The sequence below is a fragment of the Homo sapiens genome, chromosome 7 (assembly GCF_000001405.40).
Source record: "Homo sapiens chromosome 7, GRCh38.p14 Primary Assembly".
NCBI lineage: Eukaryota > Metazoa > Chordata > Mammalia > Primates > Hominidae > Homo > Homo sapiens.
In genome coordinates, this window is record NC_000007.14 from 131,178,805 (window position 1) to 131,197,683 (window position 18,879).

General features: G+C 41.4%; 1 protein-coding gene across 2 annotated transcripts in view, besides 10 other annotated features; it reads left to right on the forward strand.

Annotated features, from left to right (window-relative positions):
* MKLN1 (muskelin 1) overlaps window positions 1-18,879 on the forward strand; it is a 386,539-nt gene that overhangs the window by 68,711 nt on the left and 298,949 nt on the right. The window lies entirely within an intron of this gene.
* Window positions 9,299-9,799: an enhancer, noted in NCBI's record as "H3K27ac hESC enhancer chr7:130872862-130873362 (GRCh37/hg19 assembly coordinates)". NCBI's record gives its function as "activates a minimal SCP1, AML or CMV promoter by ChIP-STARR-seq in naive H9 embryonic stem cells {active_cell/tissue: H9 hESC(naive)}" and the evidence as "EXISTENCE:reporter gene assay evidence [ECO:0000049][PMID:30033119]".
* Window positions 9,299-10,609: a biological region, named in NCBI's record as "MED14-independent group 3 enhancer GRCh37_chr7:130872973-130874172".
* Window positions 9,410-10,609: an enhancer, noted in NCBI's record as "MED14-independent group 3 enhancer chr7:130872973-130874172 (GRCh37/hg19 assembly coordinates)". NCBI's record gives its function as "activates an origin of replication core promoter dependent on BRD2, BRD4, P300/CBP and CDK7 cofactors, and independent of MED14, by STARR-seq in HCT116 cells {active_cell/tissue: HCT116}" and the evidence as "EXISTENCE:reporter gene assay evidence [ECO:0000049][PMID:35650434]".
* Window positions 9,604-9,813: an enhancer, noted in NCBI's record as "active region_26670". NCBI's record gives its function as "activates an Ori minimal core promoter by ATAC-STARR-seq in GM12878 lymphoblastoid cells {active_cell/tissue: GM12878}" and the evidence as "EXISTENCE:reporter gene assay evidence [ECO:0000049][PMID:35858748]".
* Window positions 9,800-10,300: an enhancer, noted in NCBI's record as "H3K27ac hESC enhancer chr7:130873363-130873863 (GRCh37/hg19 assembly coordinates)". NCBI's record gives its function as "activates a minimal SCP1, AML or CMV promoter by ChIP-STARR-seq in naive H9 embryonic stem cells {active_cell/tissue: H9 hESC(naive)}" and the evidence as "EXISTENCE:reporter gene assay evidence [ECO:0000049][PMID:30033119]".
* Window positions 9,914-9,983: an enhancer, noted in NCBI's record as "active region_26671". NCBI's record gives its function as "activates an Ori minimal core promoter by ATAC-STARR-seq in GM12878 lymphoblastoid cells {active_cell/tissue: GM12878}" and the evidence as "EXISTENCE:reporter gene assay evidence [ECO:0000049][PMID:35858748]".
* Window positions 10,114-10,163: an enhancer, noted in NCBI's record as "active region_26672". NCBI's record gives its function as "activates an Ori minimal core promoter by ATAC-STARR-seq in GM12878 lymphoblastoid cells {active_cell/tissue: GM12878}" and the evidence as "EXISTENCE:reporter gene assay evidence [ECO:0000049][PMID:35858748]".
* Window positions 12,010-12,768: an enhancer, noted in NCBI's record as "H3K27ac hESC enhancer chr7:130875573-130876331 (GRCh37/hg19 assembly coordinates)". NCBI's record gives its function as "activates a minimal SCP1, AML or CMV promoter by ChIP-STARR-seq in naive H9 embryonic stem cells {active_cell/tissue: H9 hESC(naive)}" and the evidence as "EXISTENCE:reporter gene assay evidence [ECO:0000049][PMID:30033119]".
* Window positions 16,855-16,999: an enhancer, noted in NCBI's record as "145 bp 7:130880490 sequence used in MPRA reporter constructs". NCBI's record gives its function as "activates a minimal TATA-containing promoter with rs4731762 allelic activity by MPRAs in C283T melanocytes and UACC903 melanoma cells {active_cell/tissue: C283T | UACC903}" and the evidence as "EXISTENCE:reporter gene assay evidence [ECO:0000049][PMID:36423637]".
* Window position 16,927: a transcriptional cis regulatory region, noted in NCBI's record as "rs4731762 or 7:130880490 MPRA-significant variant associated with a GWAS melanoma risk locus at 7q32.3". NCBI's record gives its function as "allelic transcriptional activity by MPRAs in C283T melanocytes and UACC903 melanoma cells {active_cell/tissue: C283T | UACC903}" and the evidence as "EXISTENCE:reporter gene assay evidence [ECO:0000049][PMID:36423637]".

Sequence of the window (18,879 nt, forward strand, 5' to 3'; positions counted from 1 at the left end):
GGTGAATTCCTTAGACATAGCTTAATTTTGTTTTGGCCCAATATAAAAGTTTGCCTTTTGACACAGAGATTCAACTCATCCACATTTTTAGTGGTAACTGATATTTTTTTATTCTTTCCATTTTATTTTTACTGTGTATTATACTTCATTATTGTTTCCTTTCCTCCCTTTCCTTAGACTTACTGGCTTGATCATTTTAAGAAGGTATTTTCTTCTGTTGTTAAGTAGGAAGTTTTCTTCTGAAGCACTTGCTTCTCTTATATAAATAAATACCTTTCTTGACTGAATAAGCATATTCCTGTATCTCAGAGATTCATTGTGAATATGTTGAAGAAGAAATACAATTTATTTCTTTACTAGTGAAATAATAAATAAGGTCATGGGCACCATGTAATAATTAAGGAAGATTATATTCCTCACTTCCTTCAACATCACACATAGACTGCAACAAATATCTCACTACTCCCTTAAGCAGGGCTGGAAATGAGCCCTGTCTTGATGGAGGTGCTGTGTGGTCAGCACTTCCTAGATTCCTTTAAGGGTCTACCTATTGAAGGAAGAAGGTCAGCTGTTATCCTAAAATTCTAAAGTCCACATGGAGAAGAATTATGATGAGTATTCATCCATACACTTCTCTAACTCTACTGAATGCAAAATAAGTTATCAAGAGTGACAAGGCAAATAATTATGACTAATACTGTAATACGCTTTGTGGCTTGCTATCTCCATTGCATTTGTTTTTTAAAAGAGACATTATTATTATTATTATTATTTTGTTGTTGTTGTTTTGAGATAGGGTCTTGCTCTGTCACCAGGCTGGAGTGCAGTGGTGCGATCTCGGCTCACTGCAACCTCCACCTCCTGGGTTCAAGCAATTCTCCTGCCTCAGCCTCCCGAGTAGCTGGGACTACAGGTGCATGCTGCCATGCCCAGCTAATTTTTTGTATTTTTAGTAGAGAAGGGGTTTCACCGTGTTAGCCAGGGTGGTCTTGATCTCCTGTCCTTGTGATCCGCCTGCCTCGGCCTCCCAAAATGCTGGCATTACAGGCATGAGCCACTGCACCTGGCCGATTCTGTTATTTCTAACATTTATTTTTTATTTTTTAGAGACAAGGTCTCGCTCTGTCATCCAGGCTGGAGTGCAGTGGCACAACCATAGCTCACAGCAGTTTGAACTCCTGGTCTCAAGTAATCCTCCTGCCTCAACCTCTTGAAGTGTTAGGATTACAGGCATGAGCCACCATGCCCAGCCAAAAGAATTTTTATAACCTTTTTTCCATGGAAGGCTTGAGTTCTACAAAGTTTGTCATAGCTCTGTGAAGAACTTACATATGAAATGTAGCTCTAGATTACTTGGTGAAATTATTAATCCTTTTCTGATACTCTTACATGTACATAAATATATTGCTTCTGAAAGAAACCTTTTTTCTTGTGTCTGGCTCCAAATTATACCTTCCCCTTCACGCTACAGCAGGACTCGTTCCCAAGAGCAATCACAGATCCTAAAATGAAGCAAATGGTGCAAATGTTACCATTTATGTAGAAATGTTGCTGTTTTTACCATGAGGAACAATATAAAAGAAGAAACCAATGTTTTATGAAAGCTGTTTAAGGCCGGGCGCAGTGGCTCACGCCTGTAATCCCAGCACTTTGGGAGGCCGAGGCGGGCGGATCACCTGAGGTCAGGAGTTCGAGACCAGCATGGCCAACATGGTGAAACTCTGTCTCTACTAAAAATACAAAAATTAGCCGGGTGTGGTGGCAGGTGCCTGTAATCCCAGCTACTCAGGAGACCGAGGCAGGAGAATCACTTGAACCTGAGAGGTGGAGGTTGCAGTGAGCCAAGATCCCACCACTGCACTCCAGCCTGGGCGACAGAGTGAGACTTGGTCTCAAAAAAAAAAAAAAAGAAAGAAAAAGAAAGCTGTATAACTTTTACTCAATGTCATTCTAATTTATTTCTTTCTTAAAATTATTATTTTAGATCCCTTTTGGGAATGGTTTGGTTACAAACTGGTAAACATTTTCATAAATCTTAGAATAATTCCATACAGAAAATTATTTGTACTCTACAAAAATATTTATTAAAATATACAATACATAAATGACTTTCTATGTACAAGAAACTCTCCATCTTGAAACATTTGTGTTATAATATCTGTCCCTCGTGCTCTCTCTCAATATCAAGAGTACAGCAACACCCTTACATGTCTGCCACTCACCATATATTTTGGGGGTAAATTGACAAATAATTAATTCTGCAGTTGGACGTTTTCCCCTTCCCATCACCATTATTTTCCTGCAACTTTTCAGGCAAAGGGAGCAGAGCATGGTGTCACAGGAAGATAATGATAATAATTAATGTTAAATCCACTACTTCCTCCTCCTCTTAGGTATTTTCCCTCCAGTATTGATTATGAAAGAGGCTTAGCCTCACATCAGCCCTAGAAGAAGTGGGAGAAATTTGAGAATAAGAAAGAAAAGCATCTGATGAAAATAAAATTATTATAGAAAACTATATATGCATAAACATGTTATCAGGTTTAAACATTAAAATGTATTGGTATTTAGTATGAGTTTAATGTTACTAGCTACTAACATCTATTAAAAATTAGGCTTCAGGCCAGGCGCAGTGACTCACACCTATAATCTCAGCATTTTGGGAGGCCAAGGCAGGAGGATCAAGTGAAGCCAGGTGTTCGAGACCAGCTTGGGCAACACAGGGAGACTTCATCCCTACCAAAAAGAAAAAAAATTAACTGGACTTGGTGGCGCACACATTTAGTCCCAATAACTCGAGAGGCTGAGGCAGGAGTTTGAGACCAGCCTGGCCAACATGGTGAAACCTCATCCCTATTTTTTTTTTTTTTTTTGAGATGGAGTCTCGTTCTGTCACCCAGGCTGGAGTCCAGTGGCACGATCTCAGCTCACTGCACCCTCCACCTCCTGGGTTCAAGCAATTATCCTGTCTCAGCCTCCTGAGTAGCTGGGACTATAGGCGCAAGCCACCACGCCCAGCTAATTTTTGTATTTTTAGTAGAGACGAGATTTCACCATATTGGTCAGGCTGGTCTCGGACTACTGACCTCAAGTGATCCACCTGCCTTGGCCTCCCAAAGTGCTAAGATTACAGGCGTGAGCCACCACACCCGGCCCCCATCCCTATTAAAAATACAAAAATTAACTGGGTGTGGTGGTGCGTGCCTGTAATTCCAGTTACCCGGGAAGCTGAAGAAGGAGAATTGCTGGAACCCGGGACGGGGAGGCTGCAGTGAGCCGAGATCGCACCACTGCACTCCAGCCTGGGTGACAGAGTGAAACTCCATCTCCAAAAAAAAACCCATCATAAATATGTTCATCAATAGAGTTAATAGAGTTCAAAACTGGTCTGGATTCAATATGTTGACAAAATGCTTCAAACCTGGATACCAGTCCTGCAGTTGACACTGTATGATTGAATTTGGGAAAAACAGGTTCCCATAGCTTTCAGGAATAGGGTTTGAAAATACTGGAATTGAAAAGCTTCAGTAAGAGAAGACAATGCTTACCACAGCCAAGCTGTCACTCTCTAATTATTTTTACTTTCACGTTATTTGGGCCCAAAGAACTAGATGAGGAATCAGGAGTTTACATAAACAAATCCCTGGAATATACAATTTAGCTTATCCTTTAGCATCTCTATTTTTCCTCCAGTTGAGTGAGAAGAAACCCTAAGACCAAACCTTATATCTTCCAGAAGCATTTTAAGGAATAACCATGTTTGAAAGATTTCTCTAATGAGTCATATAGAATTCTGTTACTATAGAGAGATTGTCTTCTTTGCTAAGAACAAATAGAGAATAAAGACTTACAAATAAATGAGTTGTTTTAAGAGTCTGTTTTATAGTGTCACCTTTTTGTGAAATTCCCCATTATACTGCCACATTTTAATGTTCTTTTTCTCTGGCCTGGGCTTAGAGCAATGATCTGCCACTCTCATGTATGAACTATGCACTAGAGTACAGAAATATACATAATCTTTGCCTAGGGTATAATTTTAGTGGGCTGACGCAGCAGCACAAGAAAGGCTCTGAAATGCCAGTGGGTTACACATGCATTGATCTTGACAAATTCTATGTGATCAACGTGACCATGGCATACCTTGTGACTTTTTTGGTTGGTTTGCTTAAATGTCAATCAAATTTTAAGATAATTATGAGATGAAATGCACTAGGGGACCTACCACACAGCATCAGGTGGATGTGGAGTGGTTTTGCTACTCATATAAAGTGAAATCCTGCAAAATAACACCCTCAAAGGAGCTGAATGTAAAGGAGAAAGGGGAAGACAATATCTTATCATTAAAAATCAATCAGATATTTACTAAGTGCCTCTTCTGATGACTTCTTACATTTCAGTGGCTAGCAGATCTTGGTTCACAAAATACTTTCACAGACATTATCTTATTTGATCCTCCCAACAACCGGTAAGGTAAGAGAGGTAATCTGAAAATGAGGAAATGGCAACTCTGAGACTTAAGTGCTTTCTGAGGACCTATACTCAGCTTGACGGGGGTGGGGAGCATTGGAACTGCCCAGGTCTCCAAATACTCTGTCCTGTAATCATTCCCTCTTGATCACCCACTATTGTACTCCTTCATTCTCTGTCTGGTCCTGTGGAGGAGTCCAAAGAAATTGGAAGGCGTAAATCTTGCCCTCAGGGAGATTCTGCTCTAGATGAGAGAATGCAAGTTTTCGTAATAAAAACAACAGAGAATTATTAAGTGTTAAACCGTATGAAACAGGCTACAAATATAGTAACAGATTATTTTCACTGGAAAATAAGATGCTATAAATTGTACCCAATGGCCTGAAAAATGTATGTGCAGGTGCCTGAGAATAGTGGTCAACTCAATGTTTCTGAAGTTTTCCAGCCAGGCAATCAATGTTTTCCTAGAGAAGTCTCATGGTTAATTCTTGACTAGGAGAAAAGCCAACAAGCACTATCTTGCCCAGCTCTTTGGTGACACATGGTTGCTTCTAAGAGCCAATTCTTGAATCTTTGAATTCTTTTTAGCCTCTGTTGTGCCTCAGACTGAGAACAGGAAGCTTGTGGGAACCAGTCCTGGCCCTGGTACCTTGTTGCATCCTCTAAACGATCAGTGGAGGCCACCGAGGAAATTGCCTGTTCACCTCCTCCTAGTTATCTAGTTTGCAAACGGAGTAAAGAAGAAGAGTTACTTTTTTTTTTTAAGCTGCCTTGAGGTGGGAGAATGGACACATTTGTTCTCTACTCAGAGAGACCATAGACTTCAAGGGTCTGCAGGGACTCTGTGATCACTTTTCTTTCTTTTTTTAGTTTTTTTAGAGACAGGGTCTCACTATGTGACTATTCACAGGCATGATCACAGGCATGACTACAGTGTCAAACTCCTGGGCTCAAGCAATCCTCCCAACTCCGCCTCCCTAGTAGCTGTGACTATAGGTGTGCACCACTGTGCCTGGCTTTATTTTCTAATGTCTTAATGCTCAAACCTAAAATTCTCCAAATCCATATTTGTTTCAGATGCAAAATTCTATTCCAAATATCTGTTCTTTGTTTTTTTCAGCAGAGCAAGCCTGTCCTTAGAAACAGCTGCAGGCCAGTCACTGTCTCTCCCTGTCTTTATCTTCCCTGCTGAGTGGCATGTTGCTTGCAAGGCCCCATGGGGACTTCCAAAGCCTTCCATAAATGACTGGCAGTAATACTTTTTTTTTTTGAGATGGAGTTTCGTTCTTGTTGCCCAGGCTGGAGTGCAATGGCGTGGTCTCGGTTTACTGCAACCTCCGCCTCCCGGGTTCAAGCAATTCACCTGACTCAGCCTCCCAAGTAGCTGGGATTACAGGTGCCCGCCACTACATCCAGCTAATCTTTTTGTAATTTTAGTAGAGACAGGGTTTCACCACATTGGCCAGGCTAGTCTCGAACTCCTGACCTCAGGTGATCTGCCCGCCTTGGCCTCCAAAGTGCTGGGATCACAGGCATGAGCCACCATGCCCGGCCAGCAATACTTTTTTAAAGATGCACACACCCAGCCAGGTTCACCAGTATTATGGATGTTTCTGTGTAGTCTTCTCCAAAATGCTAATTTGCTGAAGTGTCCATGGGAATAGGCCAACACGGATGGATCTACTGTATAACTTGCCTGCCATCAGGAAAGAGTCAACACGGCAGACACATGCTGGCAGAAACCCTGCTGGAGTTGCCCCTGAGCATTGATGCATACCACCCGAGAGGAGGAGAGGGTGGTGGGAGAAATCAGATCAGAGTTCAGAATGCACCGTAATGCTCTGTAAATGTAAGACTGCACCTTGCAGGAACTGTCAATGCCACTACCAATATCACTCACTTACATCAAGCACTTGAGAGCAGCTGCGAACACAATTCTCTGACTCCTAACCTTAAGCACGTGACTGGTACCACTGGACAACCTATGTTCTCAAAGATGCATCTTTTAAACTACTTTCCCTAGGGGCCCGGCACGGTGGCTCACACCTGTAATCCCAGCACTTTAGGAGGCCAAGGTGGGCAGATCACCTGAGGTCAGAAGTTCGAGACCAGCCTGACCAACATGGTGAAACCTCGTCTCTACTAAAAATACAAAAAAAAAAAAAATTAGCCAGACACGGTGGCACATGCCTGTAATCCCAGCTACTCGGGAGGCTGAGGCTGGAGAATCGCTTGAACCTGGGAAGCAGTGAGCCGAGATCGCACCACTGCACTCCAGCCTGGGCGACAGAGCAAGATTCCATCTCAAAAAAAAATAAAAAATAAAAAAATTACTTTCCCAGGAGTAGAAATGGATTTATGCTGAGTCACTCAAGCTTTCATTTCATCCAGGGGTTGTGAACATAGATTCTGGAACCAGCTCTGTCACATACTAGCCGTATGACCTTGGGAAAATTACCTAAAAATTCTCCATGCCTTCAATTCCCGTGTGTGAAATGGTGATAATTATACCAGCTACCCCATAAAGTTGTTTTGAGGCTTAGAGATGTAAAGAGCTTAGAACATGGCCTAGCACGTATTTTGTACCATGTAAGTGGTATTTTCATTTGTTCTTCTAATATTAATTTAAAACATCTGTGGGCCGGGGGTGGTGGTGCAGGCCTGTAATCCCAGCACTTTGGGAGGCTGAGGTGGGCAGATCATGAGGTCAAGAGATTGAGACCATCCTGGCCAACATGGTGAAACCCCGTCTTCACTAAAAAAAACAAAAATTAGCTGGGCATAGTGGCACGCGCCTGTAATCCCAGCTATCAGGAGACTGAGACAGGAGAATTCCTTGCACCCGGAAGGTGGAGGTTGCAATGAGCCGAAATCATGTCATTGCACTCCAGCCTGGGTGACAGAATAAGACTCCGTCTCAAAAACAAACAAACAAACAGCCTCTGTTCTGACCAGGTATGGGTGGCTCACGCCAGTAATCCCAGCACTTTGGGAGGCCGAAGTGGGAAGATTGCTTGAGGCCAGGAGTTCAAGACCAGCCTGGGCAACATAGCAAGATACTGTCTCTATACAAAATAATTTTAAAAATGAGCTGGGCATGGTAGCACACGCCTGTAGCCCCAGCTGCTCAGGAGGCCAACGTGGGAGGATTGCTTGAGACCAGGAGATCACGGCTGCAGAGAACCATGATCGTGCCACTGCCCTCTGGGCTGGGAGATAGTTAGATCCTGTGTCAAAAAAAAAAATTAAAACAAAACCTCTGCTCTGGACGCTGCTAGGTGTTGAGAGGTAAAAACAAATAACATGCAGTAGGTTCCCTCAGTGGGCTTACGGTCTGTTTTATTACTTTACTGTCACTGTTTTATTTACTTTGCCTAGCACGCCAGTTGCAAAGTACTCAATAAATGTTTCTGAACGTATGATTGTCTTGTGGAAACAGGCAAGCATACCAATAACTTCAATGAAATGACAGGATGTAACTGTGCCTGGCCCATAGTAAGTGTCTGGTACCATATAAGCATTAGCTATCTTAATTATGAGTTTAGTAGAATAAATGCTGAGATTGAGTGTGCGGGCTGAAGGTTGAGGGTGAGGAGGTAGAAGTGCACTCAGGGAAGTCTTCCAAGAGGCAGTATCATTGAGCTTAGTTTTGATCAGCGTGTAGGCGTTAGCCAGTAAGAGAAGAGGGCTAAGTGTGTTCCAGGCAGAAGGAACATTGTGTGCAGAGTTAGAGAGGCGTGAAATAGCACAATACATTCAGGGAACTCCGAGTAGGCAAGAAGGACTGGAGCGCCATCCTTATTGTGACATCCAGCATGCATTTGTTAAATGAGTGTTTGAGATTAGAAGCTGTGGGATGAAACAAAACAAATGAGACATTGCTTGTGTTATTCTGGCCTTCAGCATTGAACTAAATAAGCAGTCATGGACGAAGTGGCCAGAGGATTTGTTCAGTGTCATACTTGCTCTGGTACAAATGCTATATACTTTCCTACCGCACAGTCAGCCTCTTCTTGTCCTCTGCTAGAGGAAGTAAATTCACTTCATTTGTCTTTTTTTTTTTTTCCAAAACAACTGAGATAAATTACAATAAAGTTGAGGAGACTGTAGTGTAGGTGAAGATGTTTTTGCATAGTAACGTATTGCTCTAGAGCAGAGGTCAGCAAACTATGGCCTGAGGGCCAAATCTGATCCACCGCCTGTTTCTGTAATTAAGTTTTACTGGAATACAGCCATGCTCATTTGTATACAGGTTGTCTATGGCTGCTTTAGTGCTATAACAGCAGAGTTAGGTAGTTATGACAGAGACTATACAGCCTGCAAAGCTTAAAATATTTACTGGCTGGCCCTTTACAGAAAGTGTTTGCCAATCCTAGGCCAGGTGCGGTGACTCATGCCTGTAACCTCAGCACTTTGGGACGCTGAGATGGAAGGATCACTTGAGTCCAGGATTTCGAGACCAGAGTCCAGGAGTTTGAGGCCACTCTGACTGACATGGCGAAACCCCGTCTCTACTAAAGGTACACACAAAAAAACTAGCCAGGCATGGTGGCGCATGCCTGTAGTCCCAGCTACTTGGGAGGCTGAGGCAGGAAAATTGCTTGAACCCAGGAGGTGGAGGTTGCAGTGAGCTGAGATTGTGCCACTGTACCCCAGCCTGGGTGACAGAGTGAGACTCTGTCTCAAAAAAAAGAAAAAGAAAGTGAGTGTTTGCCAGTCCTCACTCTAGATTCTTCTCTTCTAATCTGATAAATAACAACCACCTAAATATTTAAAACAAGGTATTGGGTTGGTTCAGAGTCAATGTGGTAAACAATAGGTTATCGAATTTTAAAAATTCACCATTAAGGAGAGAGAAGATTGCACATACGTTACCCATAAAGTGTGTGATAAACATGAATAAATAAATAAACATAGTTTCTACGATTGGCTTTTGAATTTGGCTCTGAGCTTCCTAGCCATGGGGGGCGTTGGGGGGAAGAAGATAATTGATCACCTGTATTAGTTACCTGTTACTTCATAACAAACCATCTTAAAATTGCATGGCATATAACAGCTACCATTTACTATTTCTCGAGTCTGTGAATTGGCTGAGAGGTTCTGCTGATCTGGGCTGGGCCCAGCTGACCACAGTGGGCTTGCTCACACATTTGTGATCAGCTGGTATGTTCGCTTGGAGCTGGCTGGTCTAAAATGGCTTCAGCTGGAGTGGCTCATCTTGACTCCACAGGATGTCTCATCCTCCAGCCGGCTAGCCTGGACTTGTTCGCATAGCCCTGGCAGGTTTCAGAGGAGAGCCGAAGCACACACTTGAGGCTTAGGCTTGGAACTGGAACACCATTATTTCAATTACATTCTAGTGGCCAAAGCCAGCCAAAAGGCAGGCCCAGACTCAAGGAATGTAGAAACAGACTCCAGCTCTTGATGGGAGGAGCTGCAAAGTCACATTGCAAGGGGCAGGGAAACAGGAGGGACAGAATTGAGGCCATGTTTGAAATCACAAACAATCAATCATCATCTAAAACAGCGTGTATTCCAACCACAAAATTTTAAAAGTCATCTCTGTGGTCTAAAGCGGAAAGAACGAGTCATCATACATCAGTCTATTCAGCCCCACCCACAGATATGAATCATCAGTGTCTTCAGCTAAGAGGACCACTATCTTCTAGCTAATGACAAATACAGAGGAGGGGTGGAAAGAAGTCTGTTGGAAATGTGTACATATCACATGAGACCCAGACCCATATTCAAATACCACTTGATGAATTTCACCAGGGAATCAGACTCAGTTTTAATGGGTTAAAGGGATACGGAAAATCATTGTCACAGATGTAAGCAATAACTCAACTAAACATCAGCTTTTGAGGCTCAACCCTAAACAGACCTACAATATTCTGGCTGATTCCCATTTGCCTCCACTTTTATCATTGGGTGGTGGTAAAATTGGTCACTGTATTCAAAGATCATATCACTACCTATGGATATGGATGTGATTGAAATGACAGACAGGGGAGAATTTTTTTTAACTTACTAGCCATGTAATGATTTTTTAAAATTTATTGCTAGAAAATCTTCACTATTACCAAACTTGCCTCAATAAATGATGTTACGTATAAATAGCAACAGCGATGTCAGAAGACCTCCTTAGCATTTCTTTTCCTGGTATGATATGGCTGTCTGTAAGAAGAGAGTAAACATAGATAGCTCTTGCTTCTTACGGTATTTCAGAATCCCCCTAGAAGTTTTTTATATTAAAAAACAAACAAAAAAAAAAACACAAAACTCCCAAACCACCCAGACAAACCCACCCAGCCTAGGTATGAGAATGTTCTTTCAGGCCTAGAGCCAGTCAGGGTCCTTAGCTTTGTTTGCAAGATGCCAGTGCCTTTATACTCAGACTTCGTGGAGCTGCCACCATACTTCTGTAGTAATAGCAGTAGTGAGTGGGGAGGTACATGACAGAATTTAGAGAACTATTAGACGCCCGTTGACTCAGACATCAGGACCACCTGTGAATGGAAATATCTTTCAACTTAGATATAATAAAAAGGAACGGAGCTGTTGATGTTATTGAGGAGGTGGAAACAAAACCTTCAGGATGCTTGAAGATAACTGGTTTATAGGAGGGCTGGGGGCAATAGGGCTGTCTTAGGAAGAACAAATGATGCTTCCAAAATTTGAGTGCAGAAAATCAGAAGTTAACCTTGGGTGGGTCACAAGGTTAAATGTAATGAAGGCTAAGTGTGACAAGGTTAAATGACATAACATATATAAAATACCTGGTGGGTTACTTAGAAGAGTACACCTCAAAAATGTTGGTTCCCTCCATCTCTCTGGATCCCCCACCCCCTTAAGGATTTCTTAAAAAACGAAAAACCTGCCAGCCAGCTGCCACTGGAAAGATGTCAAGTAGGATAAGCTGCTGATAGGTGGTAACAACAAAATCCACATCCAGGTGGATGGAGCAGGGGGATGTCACCTCTCCTGCCCCTCCCCTAATTACAAGTTGGAGGCAGCATAAAGACATTCCTTCCTTCCTGCAGAGGAAGTATGTGTTTTCTCTCAGACCTACCTTGGCATTCCTTGATGTCTTAGAGAAGCAGATGACCCCGGCTGAGCAAGACAGTCAGCAGAACAGCAGCCCTCGATGCTGCAATTGGAAATTTCCATTCTTTGCTTGCAGCTCTGAAAAAAAAAAAAAAATCTAAAGAGCCCAGTAGCTGGGAAATTTCCATGATGGAAAATTTTAACATATTCTTTAGCTCTAAACTATGCAGGTTTATAGAGACTATTTTTTTTTCTTTTGGTAATTTTCTTCTTTAACAATAATTTATGATCATTGTAACACTACAGCTGTGGGAATAAGGAGAACAAAATGAGTTGGAGGGGAATGGGTATGGTTCAGGCTAGTGGGAGGCTGTGCTATCTACTTGTGTGACCACCCAAATAATAGAAATGCAGATTGCTATAAGACCCACTGGTTGGGAATTCATCCAAAATAGAGATAGCTTGCCCTGGAGCGCTGCAGAGAAATCTGTGTAGAGACTGGTAGTGGAAAATGGATGGATAACAACTTCAGACCAGGACATGGGGAGTTCTGTTGCTGGAAAAAGCAACTCAGGCAGGTCTGTTAGACCACTGCTATTTAATCCTAAAACTGCATACAAATCACCTGGGAACCTTGTTGAGCTACAGATTCTGATTCAATAGCCCTGGAGTGAGGACCGAGACTCTCTGCTCCCAGGTGACGCTGATGCTGCCCTTCTGAGGACCACGCTGTGACTAGCTAGGCCATAGATAGCAGGTCTTCATCAGTATAAGGTCAGCTCGCCTTGGGTAGCAAAACACTGCCTAAGGGCAGCTGGAGGTGAGCCCCCGTGGGGTTGTTTGCTCAGATTACAAAGCTAAGGTCTAAAAGTAGAACTGGATGTTTTCTGGAGAGATGCTCCACGCAAGTCTGGATAAAGTGGATCTCTTGAGATGTGGGAATGCAAGCAGTTGCCAGAAGGCTGCTTACTCCAGCAGATTCAAGTTGGGGGCTTCTAGAAATCAATGCCTTTCCAGAGAAACTCTTGCATCAAGCCGGCGAAGATTCCTAAGTTGGTCCTGATTTCTGAGTGATTCTCCAGTGTTGTGGTGTGTGAGTGAAACACCAATGAACCAGCTCCAAATATTGAGGGAAGACTGTTGGTCAGGATGATGTGAAGGAGAGAAGGAGTACAGAGAATAAATTACTTCCACCCTAGCTAGAATAGCTGCCTCATTTTTATTGAGATAAAATAAAAAGGAAATTGAAGAATTTTCCATTTACTTAACAGTTATCTTGCCTTCGTGTTACCAATTTTACAAGGAGAGAGAAAGATAAAAATCTGTGGCATCTTCATTTCAGGGTGTTACCTCCAATTGGTCTGTAATGTATCTGCTGTATATATTTCCTTTTTTTTCCTTTTTTTTTTTTTTGAGACAGAGTCTCGCTGTATCTCCCAGGCTGGAGTGCAGTGGTGCAATCTCGGCTCACTGCAACCTCCGCCTCCCAGCTTCAAGCAATTCTCATGCCTCAGCCTCTCAAGTAGCTGGGACTACAGGCAGCTGCCACCATGCCTGACTATTTTTTTTTTTTTGTATTGTAGTAGAGATGGGTTTTCACCATGTTGCCCAGGGTGGTCTTGAACTCCTAAGCTCAGGCAATCTGCCTGCCTCGGCCTCTCAAAGTGCTAGGATTATAGGTATGAGCCACCGCGCCCAGCCTGCTGTGTGTGTATGTGTGTGTGTATATGTATACATGTATATATATATTATATATATACATATATATTATATATATATGTATATATATATTATATATATACGTATATATATAAAAATATATATACGTATATATACATATATACTTATGTATAATATATAAAAATATATAAAATATAATATATACAATATATAAATATATAAAATATATACAATATATAAATATATAAAATATAATATATACAATATATAAATATATAAAATATATAATATATACAATATATAAATATATAAAATATAATATATACAATATATAAATATATAAAATATAATATATACAATATATAAATATATAAAATATAATATATACAATATATAAATATATAAAATATATAATATATACAATATATAAATATATAAAATATATACAATATATAAATATATAAAATATATAAATATACAATATATAAATATATATAATATATACACATATAAATATAAATATTTACATATATATAAATATATATATTATATATATTTTTTGAGATGGAGTCTCACCCTGTCGCCCAGGCTGGAGTGCAATGGCACGATCTTAGCTCACTGCAACCTCCACCTCCAGGTTTCAAACAATTCTCCTGCCTCAGCCTCCTGAGTAGCTGGGACTACAGGCACCCACCACCACGCCCTGCTAATTTTTGTATTTTTAGTACAGATGGGGTTTCACCGGGTTGGCCAGGCTGGTCTCGAACTCCTGACCTCGTGATCCACCTGCCTCAGCCTCCCAAAGTGCTGAGATTACAGGCATGAGCCACTGTGCCCGGCCTGCTGTGTATATTTTTAAAGCAACATTTGTCCTATGTTTTTTGTCTTCCATTCACTTGAGTTTTGGATGGGTGGTTACTACTACCCAAAGTACACACAGGAGCATATGAAGAAAAGGAGAGGGATATTATGAAAATGTGATGTTGAAATCAGTGTAACAAGCATAGAATTAATTTGAGTATATAATAAAAAGTATTAAAATATATATTGGAAGTAAATGAGTATTCTAATATGCTAACTTCCATATAACAGTTACAAAATTTAAATGGCTTACAGAATTGTTTAGGGATTTGGACCTCCAGAAATTGGTTAATATTTTCCCTTGCAAAAATCTTCACTGTGGAGTCAAGGTATGATTCAGCAATGAAACAGTCTTTCTGATTACTTATGTAAGGCGATCAGTTTGCTTGTTTTTTTCCTTACTATATGTCTTGTTGAGCAATTATTTATCTAGGAACCATCTTACAACCTATAGTCAACCCAATGGAATTTACTAAATCCATCTAAAGTCACATTTTTAAAAATTATTATTATTATTATTTTTTGAGACGGAGTCTCACTCTGTTGCCCAGGCTGGAGTGCAGTGGTGCGATCTCAGCTCACTGCAACCTCTGCCTCCTGGGTTCAAGTGATTCTTCTGCCTCAGCCTCCTGGAGTAGCTGGGACTACAGGTGCGCACCACCATGACGAGCCAAGTTGTGTTTGTTTGTTTATTTTAGTAGAGATGAGGTTTCACCATATTGGCCAGGCTGGTCTCAAATTCCTGACCTCGTGATCCGCCCGCCTCGGCCTCTCAGCCTCCCAAAGTGCTGGGATTACAGGCGTGAGCCACTGCGCTCAGCTAAAAATTATTATTTTTGAGACAGGCTGGAATTCAGTGGCACCATCATGGCTCACGGCAGCCTCAACTCCCCAACCCCCACCACCCACCCACAATGCCCAGCTAATTTTAAAAATTTTTAAATTTTTTGTAGAGATGTGGTTTCCTTATGTTGTTCAGGCTAGTAACAAACTCCTGGGCTCAAGCAACCCTCCCACCCCAGCCTCCCAAAATGCCGGGATTATAAGCATGAGCCACAGGACCTTGTCCTTTTTCAAAATTATTGAGGTGAAATTCACATAACATAAAATTACCTAGGTTATTTATTTTTCTTGCTTTGTTTTGTTTTTTTTTTTTTTTTTCCAGAAACAGGATCTCATTTTATTGCCCCGGCTGGTCTTGAACTCCTGGGCTCAAACAATCCTCTCCCCGCCATCCACCTCGGCCTCTCAAAGTGCTGGGATTATAGGCATGAACCACTGTGCCCAGACAATTACCTATTTTAAAGTGAACAATTCAGAGGCATTTAGTATATTTACAACATTGTACAACCACCACTTGCATCTAGTTCCAAAACATTTGGATCATACCCAAAGGAAACCCCATGTCCATTACGCAATTGCTTCCAACTTCCCCCGGCAGCCCCTGGCAACCACCAATCTACTTTCTGAGTTTGTGTATTTACCTGTTCAGGGTATTTCCTATGAATGGACTCAAATGGCCCTTTGTAAAGTCACATCTTCTTAATAAACATCATAATTATAAAAATCTAATGTTAATGAGTGCATATAACAGGTGAGATATTTAATCCTTACAAGCTTATAAATGGGTATCATTATTAGATAGACAAGAAAACTAGAATTTAGCTTAAATCAATACATTAAATCCATATGCTTGAGATCCATACTTACGGCCAGAGAATAACCTTTGGCCAGACCCAGTTACTCTAGTGCTCTTTCCAAATGCCACAGCCGCATCTCAATTTTCATTTCCCTTATCACAAACAGATGGATAGATACTCCTTCTCAAGCTTAACAACTTCACAGAGCTTGATTCAAATACTGAATGTGTTGCTAGTTGCTTACAGCTGCTATTTCTCTAGCAGTGCAGTAAGTCCAGGCAAACTCTTTTGAAGAGCTCATTAAAACTGCTAAAATAAAGTCTTAGAAGCAGGTGCATTCATTAGCTGAAATGCAGACGATTATGTTAATATCGCATTCAGGTGACAAATTTAAAGGCACCAAATCATGAAGGATAAAAGGATTTTCAAAGCTAAAGTTAACTTCTCCCTTTGTAGAGCTCTTTGTTCTGGTAAGCATGTGACTGACTACAGCTGTCAACACGGGCACCTCCAAAGTTATCTCGCAAAAACAAAGGTGTTTTGCAGTATCATACTTCTTTTACAATTTCCTGGGTCTCTACTGAGGAAAAGAAAGGTAAGGAATTACCTACAAACCTGGTGCTATTTTTCAAATAGGAGATCTGGCACCCCATTTACAATTTATCATCAGATTGGTCTCAGGGGAAGAGGAGACGCGTTAAAGAAGGTGATTAAAATATGTGGACAGTGGGCCGGGCACGGTGGCTCATGGCTGTAATCCCAGCATTTTGGGAGACCGAGGCGGGTGGATCACTTGAGGTCAGGAGTTTGAGACCAGCCTGGCCAACATGGTGAAACCCCATCTCTACTAAAAGCACAAAAAGTAGCCAGGCATGGTGGCACGTGCCTGTAATCCCAGCTACTCAGGAGGCTGAGGCAGGAGAATCGCTTGAACCTGGGAGGTGGAGGTTGCAACGAGCCAAGATCGTGCCACTGCACTCCAGCCTGGGTGACAGAGTGAGACTGTCTAAAAAAAAAATAAAAATGTGTACAGTGGTTCCCAATTTGGAAAAGATGGGCTAACAACTCTTTTACTTTGCCTTTTTTTCCTCCTCAATATTTTGAGCATGAAATATATATGTAACCACATACATATTTCATATGTGTTTGGGAGACTGTTAATAGTAGTTTCGGCTGGGCCCGGTGGCTCACGCCTGGAATCCCAGCACTCTGGGAGCCTGAGGTGGGCGGATCATGAGGTCAGGAGATTGAAACCAGCCTGGCCAACGTGGTGAAACCCTGTCTCTACTAAAAATACAAAAATTAGCTCAGCATGGCAGCGCGTGCCTGTAATCCCAGCTACTTGGGAGGCTGAGGCAGGGGAACCGCTTGAACCCAAGAGGCAGAGGTTGCAGTGAGCCGAGATTGCACCACTGCACTCAGCCTGGAGACAGAGCTAGACTCCATCTCAAACAACAACAACAACAACAAAAACCAGTAGTTTCATCAGGATAATTTTAATTTTCTTTTTTGTGTATATTTTTATATTTCCCAAATTTTCTACAATGAATATGTAAATTTTTTAGAAACTTTAAATGTAATTTTTTTATTAAAATTTATTTTTGAATTTGTAATTTTTCAAGTTATTAAAAATTATCACTTAGCCTCTCCACATTCAGTTGTTTTACCTATAAAGTTGGGTTACTACTGAATTGCATAGCACATGGAAGCTGGATGAGATGTTTCCCCATATTCCATTCCTCCTCTCAAATCCAGGATGTCTGTGGAAATGTGGGTTCCTCTTTAGAAGGCAATATAAGAAAATGCAGCTAGGTATCCAACCATTTATAAGAATATATAAACAAGCTTAAGGATTTTTATGTCTTTCTTCAGAACGTCAATCAAGTGGGCATTCATCAAAGCGAATGTGTCTGTCACTCGCAAAGGAAAAAAGGCTGAACAACCTTTTTAGGCCAAATCTACTTATTTATTTATTTATTATACAAAAAAGTCTGTGAAGGCTTTGTAAGCTAATACTCGACACATTCATTTTTTTTTTTCCAAAACGGTGTGCTAAAATGACTGCTGACTGCAAAATGTAAATAATGAAGCTGCCATAGAGTGGCACCTACTTATGGGGCATGTTTGCATAGAATGTGTGTGTGTTTGCTAAATAGCTTGTAATTAACAAGCTGAAAGGCTGCTTGTACAGTGTAGTAGTCCTATTTTTGCCTGCTGTCCTCTTCAGCTCTTCTCCTTCTAGCTTGCTCTGTACATTATCACTTGCTCTTTTCTCTATACAATTTAGAAGCCCATTGGCCCCCATTTAAAAAGAAAAGCAACATGTAAATCAGGAAAAAAAAATCCCCATTGGGAATGGGTTGGGTAAGCAAAGAATTCTATATAGATGTATACATATACACCCCTCTCCCTGGTCAAGAATGGCCTCGCTGAATCCCTGTTCCAAATGCCGTGACAAGTCTCATTAGCTGGAGCTCATTGTGTGCAGCTCCTTTGACTGCTGGACAGCTCCGAGTCTCCTAGGAATACTTTTCCACACGCCCCATCCTCCTCTGTTTAATTCTCAGAGCTGGCACACACACAAAGGTTTCAGAATCAAGACAAAGTGAAGAACATGGCCAGAAGAGACTCCTGTTCTTCCAAAATAGTGCATTACTATCATAAGATTAGAGGGTAAACTTCAGAGCACAGGCTTGATTGTTTGATTGATTGATTTTTTTTTGAGACAGGGTCTCGCTTTGTTGCCCAGGCTGAAGTGCAGTGGCACAGTCATGGCTCTCTGCAGCCTTGACCTCTTGGGCTCGAGCAATCCTCCCACTTCAGCCCCCTGAATAGCTGGGACTACAAATGCGTGCCACCATGCCCAGTTAATTAAAATTTTATTATTATTATTATTATTATTATTATTATTATTATTATTATTATTATTTTGTAAAGACAGAGTCTCATTATGTTGCCCAGGCTGGTCTCCAACTCCTGGGCTCAAGCAACTCCCACCTCAGCCTCCCAAAGTGCTGGGGTTACAGGCATGAACCACTGCACCTGGCCAAGAACACAGGATTGAAAGATGAACTTGAGAGGTCTCCCTAGTCAAGTTTCCTTTAAATGGATGCTCTCTTCTAGAGCATGCCTGATAGTCATCCAGCCTGACCTTGGATAATCATCCAGCCTGACCTTGAAATTT